At 39.2% G+C, this 21,373-nt stretch overlaps 1 protein-coding gene across 5 annotated transcripts in view; it reads right to left on the reverse strand.

Annotated features, from left to right (window-relative positions):
* FANCB (FA complementation group B) overlaps nucleotides 1-21,373 on the reverse strand; it is a 183,546-nt gene that overhangs the window by 93,618 nt on the left and 68,555 nt on the right. For 4 of the 5 annotated variants that reach the window (XR_007068184.1, XR_001755674.2, XR_001755672.2 and 1 more), the window contains 3 exons: nucleotides 14,041-14,157; nucleotides 13,629-13,780; nucleotides 13,019-13,159 (listed from right to left, as the gene is read on the reverse strand). Coding sequence is in view for 1 of the 5 variants with exons in the window: in NM_001410764.1 (NP_001397693.1) it covers nucleotides 13,126-13,159; nucleotides 13,629-13,780; nucleotides 14,041-14,157 (303 nt within the window). In the remaining 4 variants the exon portion in view is untranslated. Of the gene's footprint in view, nucleotides 1-12,486; nucleotides 13,160-13,628; nucleotides 13,781-14,040; nucleotides 14,158-21,373 lie in introns of those variants that run through there. The other variant, NM_001410764.1, reaches the window with a different exon arrangement.

The following is a 21,373-nucleotide window of genomic DNA, read 5'->3' on the forward strand; positions in this document are numbered from 1 at the left end:
TCTATAACCATGCTTTAAAAAATATTTTATCCCTTATAGCAAAAAGAATGAAATATCCAAAAATCTAACTCAGACTTTGAATCTGATCGAATCCAAGTTTGCTTGCTGAATCACAGTATCAGTTGAATTCATAGCCCTGCTAGGTCTTTGATGTGAGCAAAGGCAGTGACCTGGAAAGAGTACAATCCCAGCAGTTTAAATGGAAATATCTGAAACACTCTGAGGAGTCCCCTAAATCCCCAACCTCCCAATGAAGCACTTCCCACAGCCTTCTGGGCCTGCAGAGCAGTTCTCCTATCCTTGCTTAAAGAAACTGTTACTTCCTGGCCTGATTATGCTGCCTTGCAGAACAAAGTAATTTGTACCCCACCAGTTATTGTTGCTCAGTCAATAACCATAATCAGATTCTAGCATGCCTGGAAAGGGTTTGAGTGTGGAATCAAACTAGGGAAGAGAAGGCTTATACAATGGAGGCTTTAAGATAGAAAATTGGGGATATTTCTGGGAACAGATCTTAAGGATGTTGAACCCAAAAGGTAAGAATATATAAAAAGAATGGAATTCACAATAAAACAACACATATTTCAATATGAAAAGGTTCAAGCCTGACTACAAGAAAAGACAGGAGTGTTTGGATGCTTGCCCCATTACCTTGAATGCAACAGCTATAAATGCCAAGGAATGCAAATGTGCCTTGTTAGCAATACATGTCTGTATTAATTATTCGTTTCCCATTGTTGCTGTAACAAATTACTACAAACTCAGTGGCTTTTTAAAACAATGCAAGGCCAGGCGCGGTGGCTCATGCCTGTAATCCCAGCACTTTGGGAGGCCGAGGCAGGCGGATCACCTGAGGTCAGGAGCTCGAGACCAGCCTGGCCAACATGGTGAAACCCCATCTCTACTAAAAATACAAAAATTAGCTGGGCATGGTGGTGGGCGCCTGTAGTCTCAGTTACTTGGGAGGCTGAGACAGGAGAATTGCTTGAACCTGGAAGGCGGAGGTTGCGGTGAGCAGAGATCACGCCATTGCCCTCCAGCCTGGGCAACAAGAAGCGAAACTCAGTCTCAAAAAAGAAAAAGATATATCAAATGTATTCTCCTACATTTCTGGAGGTCAGAAGTCTGACACAGGTCTCACTGGGCTACAGTCAAGGTGTTGGCAGGGCAGAGCAGAGCTGCATTCCTTTCTGGAGGTCCTAGAGGATAATTCATTCCCTTGCCTTTTCCAGCTTCCAGAGGCCACCTGGATTCCTCAGCTCATGACTCCTTCCCTTCTCCCATCTCCAAAACCAGCAATCATATCACCCCAACCTCTGCTTCTGTCCTCTCATCTTCTTCTCTGAATTTCCTGCCTCCTTCTTAGTAAGATCTTTGTGCTGGCAAGGTTGCAGAGAAATAGGAACACTTTTACACTGTTGGTGAGAATGTAAATTAGTTCAACCATTGTGGAAAATGGTGTGGTGATTACTCAAAGATTTAGAACCAGAAATACCATTTGACCCAGAAATCCCATTACTGGGTATGTACCCAAAGGTATATAAATCATTCTACCATAAAGACACATGCACGCATATGTTCACTGCAGCACTATTCACAATAGCAAAGACATAGAAGCAACCCAAATGCCATCAATGATAGACTGGATAAAGAAAATGTGGTACATATATACCATGGAATACTATGCAGCCATATAAAGAAACAAGATCATGTCCTTTGCAGGGACATGAATGGAGCTGGAAGTCACTTATCCTTAGCAAATTAACACAGGAACAGAAAACCAAACAGCGCATGTTCTCACTTATAAGTGGGAGCTTAACAATGAGAACACATGGACACAGGGAGGGGAACAACACACACTGGGGCCTACTGTGGGGTGGGGCAAAGGATAAGGAGAGCATTAGGAAGAATAGCTCATGCATGCTGGGTTTAATACCTAGGTGATGGGTTGTAAGTGCAGCACACCACCATGGCACACGTTTACCTATGTAACAAACCTGTGCATCCTGCATATGTACCCCAGAACTTAGAATAAGAATAAAAAGAATCTTGTGATAACAGTGGGCCCACCTAGATAATCCAGGAAAACCTTTCCATCTCCAGATTGTTAATCACGTCTAGAAAGTCCCTTTTGCCGGGTAAGGTAACATATGCACAGGTTCTTGGGATTAGGAATATAATTAACACTGGGTTTTCTAGCCTTACAGTATATCCATGCTAGAGTGCCCATTTCTTTGAGCTTTCTGACCTCTTCTTACACCACCTGCTATGGCAATTCTGCCATTTTTACTTGACTTGGTGCAGGTAACTGCTTTCTCCAAGCTTCCATGAGCCAACCTAATTGTGTATCAGCATACTCTCCTTGCATTCTTACCGAGTGTTAAATCCTGCATCAGAGGAGGATGCACCTAAGTCAATACACTCCCTTTGATCCAACTTTTGCTCTTTCCTTGATCCAGTGTCCTCAAAATCCAGTAGCACAATCCTCCTCTGGTTCCCAACAGCAGCATATGTTGACCAGATCTGGCAGCAACTTTGGGGTATAGTCCCCCTTTCTCTTGGGAGGCCAGCACTTCCCTGGCAGGCTTATATTGTGATGGGACCCTCGTTTATCTGGCTGCAGGAGATGAAAGCTTCCCATCACAGTTCTAACAATCACAGGACTACAGTACGCCAGATGCTGTCTGACCTTTACCTCCCCCAAGTGATGGGGTCCTGATTGCTGGCAAGCTGGTGGGTGATTCCATTTTAGAGTGTGCTTTCTCAGACCACTCCGGGTACCAAACCTCATGGCTACAGGAGTGCTCTTGGGAATGCCTAGAAAAGTCTGAGTAAACAGTTGAGCAGAGAGAGAAGTTAACTGCAGAGAGAAGTTAACTGCAATGTCTTCACCACCATGGCCTCAGCTGAGCCCAGGTGGAGCACTCTGGAGCTCAGATGGTCCTTTCAGTTGTCCTGCCTTGAAGCAAGGGGGCTGGGCCTTTATACTCCTACATCAACTAGTCAAAGGCTGTGGCTTTCTCTGGGGAAATCAGGTGTGATGCACCAGGCAGGTAGCTCTCTTCAGCCAAAGGGAATTCCCAAAGAGGAACTCTGCTGAGAGCTGTCAGCCAGCAGCACCCAGCAGATGGGGGAGGAGGGGAGATAGGCGCTTCAGTCCTAAATGAAAACCCGGATTATTCACAGCATCATCTATTATAAGGGCAATGGTTAAAAGTTGAAAAAAGCCTTGTCTCAGCACCTTAAATATGCTGAGAGGACTCTTCCTGACCCCTAGATGAGGACTGTGGCATAGTGGACCCATTATCTAAAAGTGGTGGGGGTCTGACACTTCTCTTTATCATTGCTTGCCAAGAATGGAACCTGACATATGAATGAACGCCCCAAAAGGAAATAAAACATTTTTAACCCTCTATTTGTGCTAATGCCTATCCTTTCAGTGTCTCTTGGCCTGCATGACAAGGGAAGGAAGCTGAGGAAAAGTGCACTTAAAAGAAAATTTTCCATGTCTGCAATAAGAAAGTGAGGAGAAGGAGCCTCATAATTAGTAGGCAAGAAGCAGATTGGGGTAAAATTGTCCAAGAGGTAGCAAAATCATCTCTATCAGGCCTCCATTAATGTTGAGAAGTTCAATACCACCTGAGAACACTATGGTATCAGCCTTGCTCTGGCTGCCACCTCCATAGTACCAATGTCTCCAGGTTTATGACATAACACCAGAAGAATCTGTCTATAATCCAATAATAATATATTTCATAGACCATGGATTTAGAGCTCAGTGAGTCAAACGAAGTGAAATGTCAGAATGCAAAAACTTTCCAGTGAAGAAAATGGGTCAAAGGCAAAATGAAGACCATGACTCTGAGAAAAGTTAATTTTTATATGGCCTCAGTCACTACATGGTGAATTTCTTTAGAGAACAAGCCTCACTTAGGGTAGGGGGTTGCTGAGGGGGAGCCAGAGAAATAGACATGAAGAAGTGAGAGGGAGGAAAATTTCCATTTTCCTCATTGATTAAAGTCTGTCATCAATGCCCCTTGGGATTCATTCAATTCTTGCCATCCTTATGAAAAGTCATTTAAAACATATATGAAACAAAAAGAACAAAGAAAAAAAAGCACATATAAGTGAAATAAGCCAGGCACAGAAAGACAACTACCACATGATCTCACTTACACATGGAATCTTAAGTCGAACTCATACAGAGTAGAATGGTAGTTGCCAGGGGATGAGGGTGGGGGTGTGGAAAAAGGGGAAACATGAGGGTGGGGATGTGGAAAAAGGGTCAAAGGGTTCCAATTTTCAGTTAGAAGGAATACGACTTAGTGATCTATTGCAAAATATGATGACCAGAATTAATGTATTGTATATTTCAAAATTACTAGAAAAGAAGACTTTAAATGTTTTCACCACAAAAAATAAGTAGGTAAAGTGTTGGATATGTTAATTAGCTTGATTTAATCTTTCTATAACGTATAAATAGATCAAAACATCACATTGTCCCCCCTAAATATTTACAATTATTATTTGTCAATTTAAATAAATAAATAAAGGCAAACCTAAATCTATAAATTAAAAATAAAAAAGTTAATTTGTTAGTTTTTTATGAACCTAGTATAAATAACAGAAAGGAACAATGAAACAGACGTGACTTAGACAAGGGAACTAAGGAGAAAACCAGAAGACAAGACAAAAATAGTAATAATAATAAATAACTCTAATTTTTAAAAATAGAATATATATATATATATATATATATATATATATATATATATATATATATGAATGATTATAAAACTGAGATCCAGTGAGAAAAGTATGGTATGACTAAATAAAACTTCAACCTTTTTAGGTAAAAGCTGCAGTTAAAAATTAGCAAAAAGAAAAGGAGAAATCTGGCTAGACTGTGTCAGAGGAAAGTGCTAGGACAAGTCCCGGGGCTGGAGCTGCATTCTACTCAGGCAGCTGTAGAAATGTGCCCGAGAGGGACTGAGATTCCAGGAAGCCTGTATTGTGACCAGGCTGGAAAGCAGACACTATATGAAGTATTTTAATGGAAAGGATTTAATGCAGAGAATTGAACTGTTTGTTGCCAGAGAACTGAAAAGAAAAACAGGAGAAACTGACGCAGTTACCCACTACTACATAAGAGGTTAAGGTTATTGGAATCTAAAGGTTTAGAGGAGCCCTGTGGAATACGGACTCAGACATCCAAGGTAGGGGCACTGCCCAGCCTGGTCATGGTATCTCTGAGGGATACAACGACGCTAGTTCTGGGAATGTAGCAATACTGGAACCAACTGCAACTATCAGGGTGAAGAACCATTGCTGTCCTGATACCGACTGATGGGACCAGAGTTGGACAGAAAGGAGCAGGTCCCTTCTCCTCCTTCTAACCTTGACATCTCTCTCTAGGGTTCCCTATAGGCAGAGCCTAACACGGCATCAGCTGGCAAAGGTTTGCAAAATCCCAGCCTCAGCATGATAAAGCACAGTGCTGTCCATTCTGGTTGCCACTAGCCACAAGTAGCTATTTGACTTTCAATTTAAACACATGGAAATTGAATAAAACAAAAAATTTAGTTCCTCAGTTGCATTAGCCACATTTGAAGGGCTCAAGAGCCACATGTGGCCAGTGGCTACCATATTAGAAAGCACAGCTGTAGGGAATAGAGTGGCCCTAAATCACATAAGAAGGAACTCAGATCATCTTGGAAATTTTCACCTTCTATGTTGTATCTGCAGACCCAGGGAAACCATCCCTACCCCAGCAAAGGTGATCTTTCTTCAAACAAATAACAGTATCATGTCATTAAAAAAGAACTTTTCTTCAATATGATGATGGTAGTGATGGTGGCAATATTTATTTCAGTATGTACATTTAGAGTCAGGTCCTATCCTATGTAAAACACTTTGATTTCATTATCTTATTTAATACCACAACACTATAAGCTCAGTACTTTTTCTTATCCCATCTTACTGATGTAAAACCTGAAAATTAGAGGGGGTAAGGAACTTGTCAAAGCCAAACAGTGAACTCTAGTGCCCTTGACTTAACTGCTGGGGTATATTGTCTCAGGTTGTCAAAGGGACCCCATGCTTTCACAAGGAAGAGATTTTATTTGCCTGCCATTATTCAGTAGAATGTTATTTTCTCAGAAAGAATAAATTGGACAAAGAAAGCCAACAATTAGGCCAGTACGGTGGCTCACACCTGTAATCCCAGCACTTTGAGGGGCCAAGGCAGGAGAACTGCTTAAGACTAGGAGTTTAAGACCAGCCTGGCAACATAGCAAGACCTCCCTCTACAAAAAATAATAAAAATAATAACAAATTAAGAAAAGCCAACAATTAATGACACTTAATAATATAAGAATTATAACAATGAAAGTAATTTCAGTTTAATAAAATTGACTCCCAACAGACAACCCAGCAGGGAGGAATAAGGGTTGTCTTTCTGCTTTTATGATGAGTCGTCATGCTCCCTCACACTCAGTGTTTGGAAATGGCTTGGATTAAGTCCTTCACCTTTCAGTTTATGATGTTTGCAAGATGACTGCTTATTATATGAGTGATGATTAGAGCTCCTTGTGCCATTTTCTGTAGCATTGACACTGCAGTTATTTATGTCATGCTAATCAGAGGTAACATGGTGAAGACATGGTAGGGTCAATCATTAGTCTGGTGATACTGGAATAGTTACTAAATTCCTCTAAGCCTCAGATTCCTTACATTGTAGGGATATCATGAGGATTAGATTAGATCAAGAATATATGTAAACAATCTAAAACATTCTTTGACAGGTAGAATTGTGCTATTATTAATGCATATTAAGTGACAATCTAATAGATGGAATAGGAGACAGAAACAATTATTTCTTATAAGAATGTATGCATTCCTCTGTTCACTCAACAAATGCTTACTGAATGCCTGCTATGTGGCAGGTACTATTCTAGGTTCTTGGGATATACCAGTGAATACAGCAGACCAAAATCCCTGCCATTATGGAGCTAACATTGTATCTATTTAGGACTCATTCTATGAAAGACATAACCCCATTTGTCACAAATATAAATGGGAATCTTCCCTGTCCTTAAGAAATTTATATTCCATTACCTTGAAAGCTTGTAAAACACCCTCTGAAAGGAACAACAAATATTTCATTGTTAACTAATGAAATATTCCTGGCAACAGGAATTAAGTGTGTGGTGGGAAAAATGCTAATTTAGAGATCAGAGAATCTAGGTTCTAGCCACATCTCTGTGTTTAACTTCTTGTAATTATCAATTTATACTCTCTGAGCTTCAGTTTTCTCACCTGCCAATATGGGAGTAGAATCTCAACAGCATTTTCAGTGATAGTTATATTTTTTATATGTCTACTATAATCATGCTAGCAAGACAGGTTAAATTTATGGAGACTAGAAAAATATACTTTCTCATATTTCATATCATAACTTCAGGTACTACTATCATGTTGAGATGCAGCCTTATGGGCGATCACATAGTTGTCCTACTGAATTGAGATGCAACCTTATGGAGGGAGGATCAGTTAGTTTTCCTGCTGAAAAACAAAGGCAGACTGTTTAGAGTGTTGCAAAAGCAGAGTCTGAAACAAGGAAATAATCCCACAAGAGTGTTGGTCATTTGATTGAGTAGGGATCCCAAGAAGTTGTACTAAGAGAAAAGGACCAGTGAGATAGAGGAGAAAGCCAAAATTGGGATGGTTAGTGGGGTGGGGGTTGTAGCAATTAGGACTCAGTCGCACCAGGACTTCTGAGAAAAGACAGAATACCTCCTAGAATTGCCCAACCAAAGGAGAAGAGGCTAGTACATTCTCCACTGGATCCCATCCCTGATTAATTGAGGTTTATCCCCCAAAATGCCAACAACCTCACTTTCTAAGGCCAACTGGTCCCCACAGCTTTAGCTTTGAGAAGACCATGAGAAAAAAAAAAGCAAGGCGTGAATTTAAGGTATGACACTGTTATGTGTTGAAGTATGTCTCCTCAAACTTCAAATGTTGAAACCTAATCCTATCTCAGAATGTGACCATATTTGAAAACAGGGTCTTTACAGAAGTAATCAAGTTAAAAATGAGGTCATTATGGTTGGTCCTAATCCAATATGACTGGTGTCCTTATAAAAGAGGAAAATTTGGATGCACGCATGTACACAAGGAGAATGTCATGTGAAGATTGGAGTTATGCTGCCACAACCCAAGGAACTAGAAATTGGGAGAGAGGACTAGAACAGACCCTTCCCTAGCACCTCTGGAGGGAGTGCAGGCTGCTGACACCTTGATCTTGGATGTCCAGCTTCCAGACTGGTGATGATAAATTGCTGCTGAGTAAGTCACTCCGTTTGTGGTACTTTGTAACAACAGCTCTAGCAAACTAATACAGACACTGCTGTGTGAAATCTGAGCATGGGAAGAACTGAGCAACACAGCTATGGCTGATATTACAGGCAGGCAAGGGAGGTGACACTGACACAAGCACTAAAGACATCTGCTACAGAGCTCATAGACTGTGGACATACTGAGGTGACAGATTAGCCTCTTGTTTCTCAGTTCTCCCTAAAGAAAGGGAATGCAAATGGAATACAAATGCAATGGCTAGAACTATAACCTACACTGTCATAGGGTTTGTTCTCTATGTTCATTATATTTGAAGCAATGATAAACCCTCCTATTCTTCTCTCAGTTGTTAATATACCTTTTCTTCCCAAGGCAGCCATTAAGATCCCATGTCCTTTTTTATATGAAGCAATTACATTTGTTAACACATTTGAAAGGGGGACATTTTAACAGCTTGATCTCCAGAACAGCCTCCATTTCTTTTAGGGTAAGAATGACAAAAACAAAAAGATGGATGACAACTGTGTCATACCTAAAAATCTTACATTTATATTCATAATCTTTTACATTGGAAAAGCTTTAAAAGTTATAATGAATTCACTAAAAATGTATGATAGAACTGCCAAGAACATCGGGAGCATTAGTTTTTGCCTGAAATTTAAGATTCTTTAACTGGGTCAGGAATATCTTGCTAAGAGCACTCCTCTCAGACACTGTCATTTTGTACTTTCCTTCCAAAAACATCAATCTCAAAAGAGATATGTGCACAAATTAATGAGAGGATTTTTTTCAAGATGCTGAATAAATTTGATCTGAAAAAAGAGCAAGGCTCTCCATTGACGCCTTTCTCATGCCCTACTTTGGTTAGAACCTGACTTTCCCTCCCCACCTGGCTGAGCTGTCCCTCCTCGAAGTGAAGCAATTTCCTGGTATGAATATAGATGTTAAACCCTGCTGGCCAAGTGGAAGCAGAGGCAGTGTTTCAAAATCAATGCACCATTAAAAAAAATCAATATATTCAATTCAAAAATTCAATATATTGTCTTATTTTAAAAGGAGTCAAGAATTAAAAACACAAAAAGTAGGTTGGAAGTAACCCAGATATTTTGTCTTACATAATATTTTCACTTATAATACTGTAAATTTAAAAAGAAAATGTGCCATATTTATATTGTAGGAGAAGAAATGTAAAGAGTTGCCTTTTTCTAACACACTTTCTCATGTATATAGAAATACATTCTAAAATACATTGTAAGACAATTTTTTTCTTCCCTTTCACAAAATTTCCAAAGTAGAAGGCAACCGAGGGCATTAGTTGTATTTCACGGTAGACAAGTTACCATCATTCTTTAGAGGAGATTTTATTATGATATCTGACTTATTTCTTTATATATTCTCCTTATCATGTTTTCAATTTATAGTTTTTTACTATCCCAGGCCAAACATAACATAAAATAAAATTAGAGGAATTTGTAGCTAATTCTACATTTCCAAATGAATTATTCAATTACAAGTTTCATTGGTGTTTTAGTGGGTTATGACTTAATCAATTCTTCTTCCATATTTACCTAATGGAATTTATCTTTATTTCAATAAGCCAAGCAATTGAATTTTTTGAAGGAAATAAATCAATGTATGTTTCTTAACATGTAAAATTTCTCACTGATATGTAAAAAATTTAAGTCTTTAAATTTAGATTAAAAACCCATAATATATTGAGCCATAAAAAGAGATGAAGTATTGACACATGCTATAACATGAATGAACATTGAAAACATTATGCTAAGTGAAAGAAGCCAATTATAAAAGACCAGATATTGTATGGTTCCATTAATATGAAATGTCTAGAGTTAGCAAATGTGTAGTAGATTGGCAGCTGCTTAGCAGTATAAGCTAAAGGGTATAGGGTTTCTTTAGGGGCAATGAAAATATTCTAAAATTGGTTGTAGTAATGGCTGCACAACTCTGTGAATATACTTAAAACCATAGAATTGTATACTCTAAATGGGTGAATTGTATGGTATGTGAATTATATCTCAATAAAGCTGTTACGAAAAAAAGATCAAATTTTCAAAATCCAATAGCAATATTTTCTGTGTCAGTGAGCAAGAAATTCAATTAATCTCTAACTCTGTAATGTCTTAAGCTGTTCATTCACTAAACAGAAATCAAATACTGAGTTAACACGCGTAGAGAGAGGACAAGGATGAAACTCCCATCTTGAGTTGAACACAGAAGCCAGGCAAAGTGGAGTGTGATTTTTCTTTTTTAAAGTAGTGCTATATAAAATATGCTTTGCAATTATAGAGGAAGAGGTGGTAACTTGTATTTCAGTGAGTCAGGAGTCAGAAGGGGCATGGAAGAAACAATATTTGGGTTGAAGAAGGAGATGGAATGGGAAGTATGGAAGGGCAGGAGATGAGAGGACAGCAGTTATTTATGGGTAATGAGGTTACAACGTGAGTTTAGGCCAGAACATGGAAGATTTCATATGTCCTGCTAAATTTGCTCTTATTTGTTTGTTTGTCTGGTTTTTTGTTTGTTTGTTTGTTTTTTGTAGGCTCTAGGACACTGTTACAAATGTGTCTTGTATGTAAGCAGATACTTACATACTTTTACATACAGCTAGGTAATGGTCCAGGTTGAAGAGTCAAAGACAGCCCCAGCCAAGGCAGTAGATGTGGAGAGGAGGAGAGCTTTGATTTTTAACGTATCTTAGAGGCAGAATCAACAGAGTTTGTTAACTGACAGATCCTGGGGATGAAGACTGAAGGAAAGAATGATGAAAGATGGAAGATGATGCAAAAGTTTTTATGTTGGGTGGCTGTGATGTTGCTATTAAACTATAGAACACCAGAGGGGAAAGGATGAAAGGTAAAATAATGAGTTGAGTCACTATGTTGAAAATGAGATGACTTTGAGATATGCAGTTGGAATCATGGGTTTGAATTAAAGGGAAAATTGGAGCTACATATATTTTGGAAGTCATCATGAATATGGAAGACAATTAAACTGCCAACATAATAAATGTTTTTCAAAATTATTTCATTTAATGTCCATGGCAACTCTGAGCTGTACATTATTTTTACTGATGAAAACCCTGAGAGATTCTGGGAGATTAAGTAACTTTCCAGAAGCCACATAGCTAGTAAGCTGCAGAGCCAGGATTCAACTAACTCTCACTAAATGTGAAGCCTATGCTTTTCCCTCTGTGTCTTGCTGATCTTTTCTAAGTCACACAGTCATTGCAGTAGGTGGGCTCATCCAGAAAAAGTCTGTAGAGTGGGGAGAGAATAGGCACAATATTGGGTGTGATGGAAAAATCCAATGTAGCTTGTTTGTAGTTTATATTCCAAAAGGGGAAGGTAATAAAAGGTGCGACTGAGAAGGACCATAGCCACTCTGCTATAGTGATGCTTTCACCTGACAATAGCTGTTACTTGGCTTCCCAGAAAACATTTCATTAGGCTCTTTGAGTGAACATGCCTTTTTGACTCTACAGAATAAAGAGAATTGAGAAGTCAAGAACACTTAGGCAGCAATAAGAGAAAGGGTGTCCTGGATTGCCAGCTTTTCAATTTCAACACAATGCTTTAAAGGCTGTCAAGTGGTCATTAGGTAGCCAAATTGGTAGCTGACCACCAGTCAGATACATCTCTCTTTTAAATCTAGTACATTTGTTTGATCCTTCTACTACATCTCTGGAGAAAAGGCTTTAATTTTCATCTTAGTTTTTCATTTCAACAAAACGAAATACAAATTTTGGGGTAGACACTAGCAAACAGTAACTATATTCCATTAAATGTTGAAATGTTTTCAAAATTAATGCATTCACTCATATATTTAATGCACTTTCATTGACAATACACTGCCCTTGCCTTCTAGAAGACTACAGTTTAGCTGCAGAGAGAAGCCAGTCTTTAATGGTCTTAAATCATGAGTAGTTTTAATGAGAAGCAGCCAGAAGAGAGGAAAAGGGTGAAGATGCAGACCAGCCCTTGAGGAGAGAGGGTGTGATGCACAGCACAGGTGAAAAGATTCACCTATGAAAAGGGGACATGACTCTTCAAATGTAACAGCTAGAGGAGAAGAAAGATTGCGTGCAAATGCAATTGGATGACAAGACAATTGAGAGAATTTCTGTTTAATGACTTCTATTATTTTTCCTGTGAAATTTTCTTCTGAAAATCAAGGGGAAAGTTTCAAACAAGCAGAGATATTTAGAACAATATTATGTCCCAAACACAAAGATGTCTACACCATAAACACAAGAGAACAGAATTACCGGAGCTGGAAAGGCAATTCTGAGTGCACAGAAGAAAGAGACATCAATGCAATATGATCCAGCCATACAGCTTGCTGATAGAGGGTTTGATGGGACATGAGTATGAAACTGGAAAATATTAAGGAGTAAAAAAGAGGTAGCACTACAGATCTGTTGCTTCAGCTAGACATTTGATAGGTGCCTTATAATACAAATAAGTGGTTAAGATCCCTTTGAGTGCCTAAAAGGCAGATATTTCATGATTTTTATTGACAGAAGACTAAGGCCATGGTCCTTAAGCTTGGCTACATGTTGGAATCACCTATGGTTGTAGTAACCTATGGCTGTGTAACCAATTGCCACAAAACTTGGTAGCTTAAAACAATGAGCACTTACTGTCTCACATACTTTCTGTGGGTCAGGAATTTAGAAGTAGCTTAGCTGGGAGTTCTGGCTCAGCATCTCTTGCACATTGGCAATCAAGATGTCAGTTCAGGCTTTAGTCATCTGAAGGCTTGACTGGGGTTTCCAACGTGGCTGTTGGTAGAAAGCTGTATTAGTCAGAGTTCTCCAGAAAAACAGAACCAATAGGATATATGTGTATGTATACACACACACACACACACACACATAGGATATACATATATCCTATTGGTTGGTTTTATATATTTTTTCCTATTGATTCTATATATATAACACATATAATAGATTATATATATAACATATATTATATATATAACATATATAATATATAACATATATAATCTATTATATATGTTATATATAATAAATTATATGTTATATATTATATAATATATATGTTACATATTATATATTATATATGTTACATAATATATATTATATATATTGCTGGAAAGGCAATTCTAAGTGCATATATACACACACACACACACACACACGTCTATATATACACACACACACACACACACACACATATACACAGAGAGAGAGAGAGAGATTTATTATAAGGAACTGGCTCATTTACATGATTATCGAAGCTGAGTAGTCCCAAGATCTGCAGTCAGCAAGCTGGAGATCCAGGAGAGCCAATGATATAGTTCCAGTCCAAGTCTGAAGACCTGAGAACCAGGAGAGCTGGTGGTGTTGATTCCAGCCCAAAAGCTGGCAGTTGGAGTTCTAAGGTCGGAAAAGACCAATGTTTCACTTCAAGTAGTCAGGCAGAAGTAGTTCCATCTTACTCAGCCTTTTTGTTCTGTTTAGGTCTTCAATCAATCAGATGAGGCCCACCCACATTAGGAGGGCAATCTGCTTTACTCAGCCTACTGATTCAAATGTTAATCTCATCTGAAAATACTCTCACATACACACAGAGAATAATGTATGACCAAATATCTGGCCTAGTCAAGTTGACACATAAAATTAACCATCACAAAGACCTCAATTCCTTGCTGGCTGTTAGCAGGAGGCCTCAGATCTTTGCAAGGTAGGACTCTTCCTAGGGCTGCTTGAGTGTCCTCATGGCAGGTTGGCTGGCTTTCCCCAAAACATGTGATCTAAAAAAGAAAACCAAATAGAAGTCTCAATATGTTTTGCGACCAAGTTTTGGAAATCACACACAGTCACTACCATATTCTCATGTTAGAAACAAGTCACTAGGCTGAGCACATGGCTCACGCCTGTAATCCCAGCACTTAGGGAGGCTGAAGTGGGTGGATCACCTGATGTCAGGAGTTCGAGACCAGCCTGGCCAACATGATGAAACCCCATCTCTACTAAAAATATAAAAATTAGCCAGGTGTGCTGGTGTGCACCTGTGGTCCCAGCTACTCAGGAGGCTGAGACAGGAGAATTGCTTGAACCTGGGAGGAGGAGGTTGCAGTGAGCCAAGACCGCACCCCTGTACTCCAGCCTGGGTAACAGAGTGAGATTCCATTAAAAAAAAAAAAAGAGAGAGAGAGAGAGAGAGAAAGAAATAAGTCATTAAATCTAACCCACTCTCAAAGAGGGGGGAGTTAAGTTTTGCTTCTTGAAGAAAGGAATATCAAAGAATTTGTGGATATATTTTAAAACCACATCTCGGGAGCTTAAAAAAATACTTATACTGGCTACCACCCCTAGCCTTTTTGACTTGGTATGTGATGAGTAAAAGCTCCCTAGGTGATTCTAATGGGTAGCCAAGTGTTTCCTCTATCATATGCATCCACTCTTGTGTCTCTTATAACTCTAAGACCTTAGCAAGCAAGCACACAGCCCTGTGATGGGCAATTTGTCAGCCTTAATGTTATACCATATCATGCAAGCGGGTGTGAAAACTTCCTATGATAAAAAACTCAGTATCATTAAAGAACTTTATAAAATTCAAAATGCTTTTCTTTCCTGTTTTGTTTTTGTTTTTTTTTTGTTTTTGTTTTTGTTTTTTTTGAGACAGAGACTCACTCTGTTGCTCAGGCTGGAATGCGGTGGCGTGATCTTGGTGGCGCAATCTTGGCTCACTGCAAGCTCCGCCTCCCAGGTTCACGCCATTCTCTTGCCTCAGCCTCCCAAGTAGCTGGGACTACAGGCACCTGCCACCACACCTGGCTAATTTTTTGTATTTTTAGTAGAGACGGGGTTTCACCGTGTTAGCCAGGATGATCTCGATCTCCTGACATCGTGATCCACCCGCCTCGGCCTCCCAAAGTGCTGGGATTACAGGCGTGAGCCACCGTGCCCAGCCTTCAAAATGCTTTTCTTAACACAAAGAAATAAGCAATATGTTTTACAGAGAGGTATGATACCCAAAAGGAGAGTATTTAATACACTGCATTTTCAAAATCATATGTAGTCTAAAACAAAGATATAAAATAAAACAAATACAAGAGACTTCTGGCTAAGTATGAAGTCAAAAACTTATAAATAAAAGCATAAATCATGAATATTTTGAGCCTATAAAGGATCAGATGCTTGATAATTCATGACAGAACGTGATCAAGTCTGACTTTGGGAGTGTGACGGTTAGGGTTTTCTTGTCAACTTGGCTAGGCTATAGTAACCAGTTATTTAATCAAACACCAATTTAGATACTGATGTAAAGGTATTTTGTAGATATGATTAAGAGAATAGAAAATTCCAGGCAGCAGTTTCACATGACAAAAAGGAAACTGGTGAAATTGCTGCATAAGCTAAGGGCCAATAAGATCCTAAAAAACAGGATGTGGACCATGCTGGCTGGACTGACTGGACCGAATATGGCACTAGAAATGACCTAGGTTTCACCCAGAACCTCATTATATGCTCATTAACATACTAAACCACATACCTGCCAGCACCATGACTGTTCCAGGAACATTCATATTTGGTGCAAAAATGAGTGGCACCACAGTTCTGAGAAATCTTAATGTTTTTCCAGAAATGTTCATGATTATTCCACCCCGTGGTTAAAGAAACCCATAAAGATAGAAACCCCAAACACTGTTGGTGCAACTCACTCTCTTGAGTACTCACACTCCCCTTTCTTGAGTGTGTACTTTTGCTTTGCAAAAAATCTCCACACTTTCACTATTTTCTGACTTATCTTTAAATTCCTTCTCGCAAAGTTGTCAAGGGCCCAGACACTGGCCAGGGTTGAAGTCCTACCAGTGTTTGGGGACCTCCTCTAGCCCACCAGTATCATTAAGATATACAGATATACAGGTATAGATACAGATCTGTATGTATTCTATTAGTTCTGTTTCGCTGGCAAACCCTGACTGATACAGATCTTGGTATTGGGAAGTGAGGTGCTGCTGTAACAAATATCTAAAAATGTGGAAGTGGCTTTGGAATTGAGTAATGAGTAGAAGCTGAAAGAATTTTGAAGAGCTTGATAGAAAAAGCCTAGATTGCCTTGAAGAGATGGTTGATGGTAATATAGACGTTAAAGGTGACAGGGTTCAGAGGGAAGTGAGGAGCACAGTAGAGAAAGCTTCTATCAAATCAGAATACATGTATCATCATGAACAGAATACTAGTAGAAATATAAATGTTAAAGGTACTTCTGATAAGACCTCAGACAGAAAATGTTGTTGGACACTGAAAGAAAGGTGATCTTTATTATAAAGTGGCAGAGAATGTGGCTGAATTGTATTCTAGTGTTTTTTGGGAAATAGAATTTGTAAGTAATGAACTTGGATATCTAACTGAGGAGATTTCCAAGCAAAGTATGGTAAGTGTTGTCTAGTTTCTCCTTGCTGCTTATAGCAAGACTCTAGAAGAAAGAGATAAATTGAGGAGAGAATTGTTATGTAAAAAGGAACCAGAACTTGATGATCTGGAAAATCCTCAGTCTATTCAGATAACAGCAAAATGTGAGAGAGTATGCTCTGGAAAGAACATCAACGGTGTGACTAGACAACCATTTGGTAAAGAGATTATGGATCCAATCAACCATCTCAGCAGCAGCCACGGATATTGATAGAGGTATACAGGAAGGATCTATGAAGAACACTCATGTCTAATGGCTCAGAACCCTGTGACTTTCATGGAAGGCCGACAAACTGTTGAAAATTTTAGACCAGTAGAAACACTGTTAAACTGAGAGGGACAGACAGGAGAATGCCATGTGAATACAGCAACACACAGAATGTCATGTGAAGACAGAGGCAGAGATTGGAATGATGCATCTACAAGCTAAGGAAAGCCAAAAATTGCCAGCAACCGCCACAAGTTAGGAAGACACAAGAAAAAATCCTCTAGAGCTTTCAGAGAGAGAGAGAGAGAATGGCTTTACCAGTACCATGACTTTAGACTTCTAGCTTCCAGAAAGGCGAGAGACTAAATTTCTATTGTTTTAAACCACGCAGTTTGTGGTACTTTGTTACAGCAACCCTAGGAAACTAATACAGGAGGTATCAAAAACACATATTGACTAGCTGAAGTTTCCTCTTGTACGGAACCCACATGTATTCTGTACCTGCTTGGGGAACAGCAGATAAACATTTTAATAAACATTAGACTACATTAATTAAATAATTTAATTGCATGATTTCATTTAAAACATGGCTTAAGATATTTTGAAAGTTATAGTACTTGTCATTTTGGTCTGTTTGCATCTTCCTTGATCTCCAATTTCCTCATTTCCCCTCTGGCATGATTGCAAAAATACAATATTTTTGTATGTGAAATCCAATGAAATAAGCAACAGTGTTCTTTTGACAAACACCACTGCTCATTAGTAAGTAATCTGAATTCTGCTTGGGCTTTGTTTACATGCTGAGCTGATAATTGTCAGTCATTTTGATATGCACAGTGAACGACCATAGCAGTAGAAATTACCGAAGCAGAAGCAGAAGCAGAAGCAGAAGCACCACATTGATTAGATTGACCGTGGGCGTGGCTGCTGGAAGCATTCTCAAATGGTGGTGCCATGGCATGGGCTTCCAAATCCCTGTGACCTAAGTAGCTGGGACCTAACGGTCATCAATGGTTCCAGTCTCTGAGTTCATGTTCTGTTAATCAGGCAAATTTTTTCAGCTCTTGGAAGAGTCAGGATTTGGCTACATTGCACTCTTCTTTCAGGTCTTTAAAATGCAAGGAATTCTATTCATCAGCTGATACTGATCTCACCAACCATTAATCACTTCCTCCCACAAACAGTTGTTTCTTGTTAGGGCCTCTGGGGATGTGGCCCATCTTCAGCCACATACAACCAAGCACCTGAGTGAAAGGAAGGCCGCTTAGACAACAGGATTCCTCAAACTACAGGTCATTACCCATTGGTGAGTTGTGAAATCATTTGATGGGTTATAAACAGATTTTTCTTAAAAAACAAAATAGAATAGGATAGATTAAATGGAATAGAAAATATCAGAATGTGTGTCATGTAGTAAAGTGTTTCATAAACTTTTTTCCATTTATTGATTTTACCGTGTGTGCATGTGTGTGTGTGTACTGGGTCATGACAAAATCCTATATCCTTCTGGGGATCGTGTTTTTCAAAGTTTGAAAAACATAGCTCTAGGGCATGATCATTAGCTCAAAATTCCCTTCAGTTTAAAAATGACCACTGGCCCCTTATACAGTTCATGTAGCCACCCTTCTATTTATTCTTATTAACACCATGTCCTCAGGCCATGAGGACTGAGGACTGCCAGAAACAATGAATTTCAAAGACTCTAGTCCCGAGAAAACATAAACAAATGGGCAAAATGGACAATAAGAAGCGCTCTGTGACTTAGTCTCCTTTAAGAGCCTTATGATTTCCTTGAAACCTTGGGACTGTGGTCACATGATTTATCTTCCTCCCTTTGCTGTAGCAAGTTTAGATACTAAAGATACATGAATCATGGCTCCTTATGGTGCTCCCTGATGGATTGTGAAGATAAACATTACAGATAATATCATTCGAGGCAATGTTTTAAGTGGTGTTGAGGGTGGGGTTAAGGAAAACAAGGTAGGCTGCTACCAAGGATAAGATGTTCTTAAAAGACAACTAGGAGTTTGCCAGTCAGACAAGGGGGAGGAAGGGCACTTCAGGTAGAGAAAAAAATATATATGCAGGGTACATGAAATGAATGCCAACTCCATAAAACTTGGTGTATTATAGGATGGCATGGCATCATATGATGCAGCTGAAATGTTGGGTCACACAGCAGAATGGTGGACCATGGGTAAAGAGGGAAGGCAGAGACCAAATTACAGAGGGAAAGCCTTGGAAGCTATATTAAAGAGTTCAGACATTATTCTGTAGTTATGGGAAACCACTGAGGGGTCTAAACTTCTAATAAAGTAATCAGATTTGCAATATAGAAAGATCATTTTCTAAGGACAGCTGAGTCAATTGCTGGGAGCAGGGGTGGTAAGCTGACTGGAGGCAGGAAAATTCAATGGGACACTATTAGTGCCACAGATCAGATGAGATATGGTGGGGACCTAAGGAAAGTGCAGGGAAAGCAGAGGAAGGAATGAAAATAAGAGATTTTTAGAGATGAAAATTTTAAAAATTGAAAATTGGTGAAGAAGCCAAAGTCTTGGATAACCCCCGATGCTTCTTGATTGAGTGGTTGGATGGGTGGTGGACAGGAATATGGGAAGAGAAATAACATATGAGGACAGATGAGTTCAGTTTGGCCCAGATTGAATTAATGTGCCTATAGGATGTCCAGGTGAATTAGGATGTTGGACACTTGGATCTGGCATTCCCTTTCTTTTGTTTTGTAAGCTGAAGTGCAATCAAACAATCCAAGAAATGCACAGGCCTTCAGTCAATAAATTCTTTCCTTTAAAGTCATCAGGCTATGATTTCTACCATGTTCTTTTGAAATGAATTTCAGACAGAGAAAGTGTCAATATGCATGGAATACAAGACATTCTGAAAAAATTAGAGCACAAATGCTGGTATCTTCAGATCTTAGGTAGTGCTAAAACTTGAACAAATTCTTGTCATTCCAGTATATGACAATCAAGTTTCATTATGAGAGCCAAGATGTTTGCATGGGTGGAGAAGAGTTAACCAGGGTCCTGATCTCACAAATTTGTCTCTAACTCCAAGAAACCAACCAGTTTGTATACACAAAAAGAACTGGTTATGAACAATCCAGGCTCAAGTTCTCCCAAAGGGAATGATTTTTATTACTAGGGACAAGGTGTATAGATCAACCAGGGATTTCAAGACCTGTATGTTGATTAGCCACAGGCATGTACTGTGCTGGGGCAAAGCAGAGATGCTACTTGGATTTCAGCCATAAACTTGGCATCAGCAAATGCTATTGCAGAATAAGGCTTCAGTTTAATCTATTATCTTAAAAAAACTCAGGAATTCCTTTGCCACTCAGTATTTTTAAATGATCCCCATGTGTTTCTTCACCAATGAAGAAATTACATTTCGAAATGCCTTTTGAAGGGAAATTACCTAATAACAGCTCCTTGGGTGTGTATGTCTGTGTGTGGAAGGGGAGGGAGATTAAGGAGGAGAAGAAACTCCTGCCAACTTTTTTCTTTCTTTCTTTCTTTTTCTGGTTGGGGGAGGAGCATCACGTAGACATCAGAAACGTTAAAATGAGGAAAATTACCAACAAATTTACAAGAAAAAAACACACAACCCCATCAAAAAGTGGGCAAAGGATATGAACAGACACTTCTCAAAAGAAGACATCTATGCAGCCAACAGACACATGAAAAAATGCTCATCATCACTGGCCACCAGAGAAATGCAAATCAAAACCACAATGAGATACCATCTCACACCAGTTAGAATGGCAATCATTAAAAAGTCAGGAAACAATAGGTGCTGGAGAGGATGTGGAGAAATAGGAACACTTTTACACTGTTGGTGGGACTGTAAACTAGTTCAACCATTGTGGAAGACAGTGTGGCGATTCCTCAAGGATCTAGAACTAGAAATACTATTTGACCCAGCCATCCCATTACTGGGTATATACCCAAAGGACTATAAATCATGCTGCTATAAAGACACATGCACACATATGTTTATTGCGGCACTATTCACAATAGCAAAGACTTGGAACCAAGCCAAATGTCCAACAATGATAGACTGGATTAAGAAAATGTGGCACATATACACCATGGAATACTATGCAGCCATAAAAAAGGATGAGTTCATGTCCTTTGTAGGGACAAGGAGGAAGCTGGAAACCATCATTCTCAGCAAACTATCGCAAGGACAGAAAACCAAACACCGCATGTTCTCACTCATAGGTGGGAATTGAACAATGAGAACACATGGACACAGGAAGGGGAACATCACACACCAGGGCCTGTTGTGGGGTGAGGGGAGCGGGGAGGGATAGCATT

This window comes from Homo sapiens, chromosome X, assembly GCF_000001405.40.
Source record: "Homo sapiens chromosome X, GRCh38.p14 Primary Assembly".
In the NCBI taxonomy this organism is placed as follows: Eukaryota; Metazoa; Chordata; class Mammalia; order Primates; family Hominidae; genus Homo; species Homo sapiens.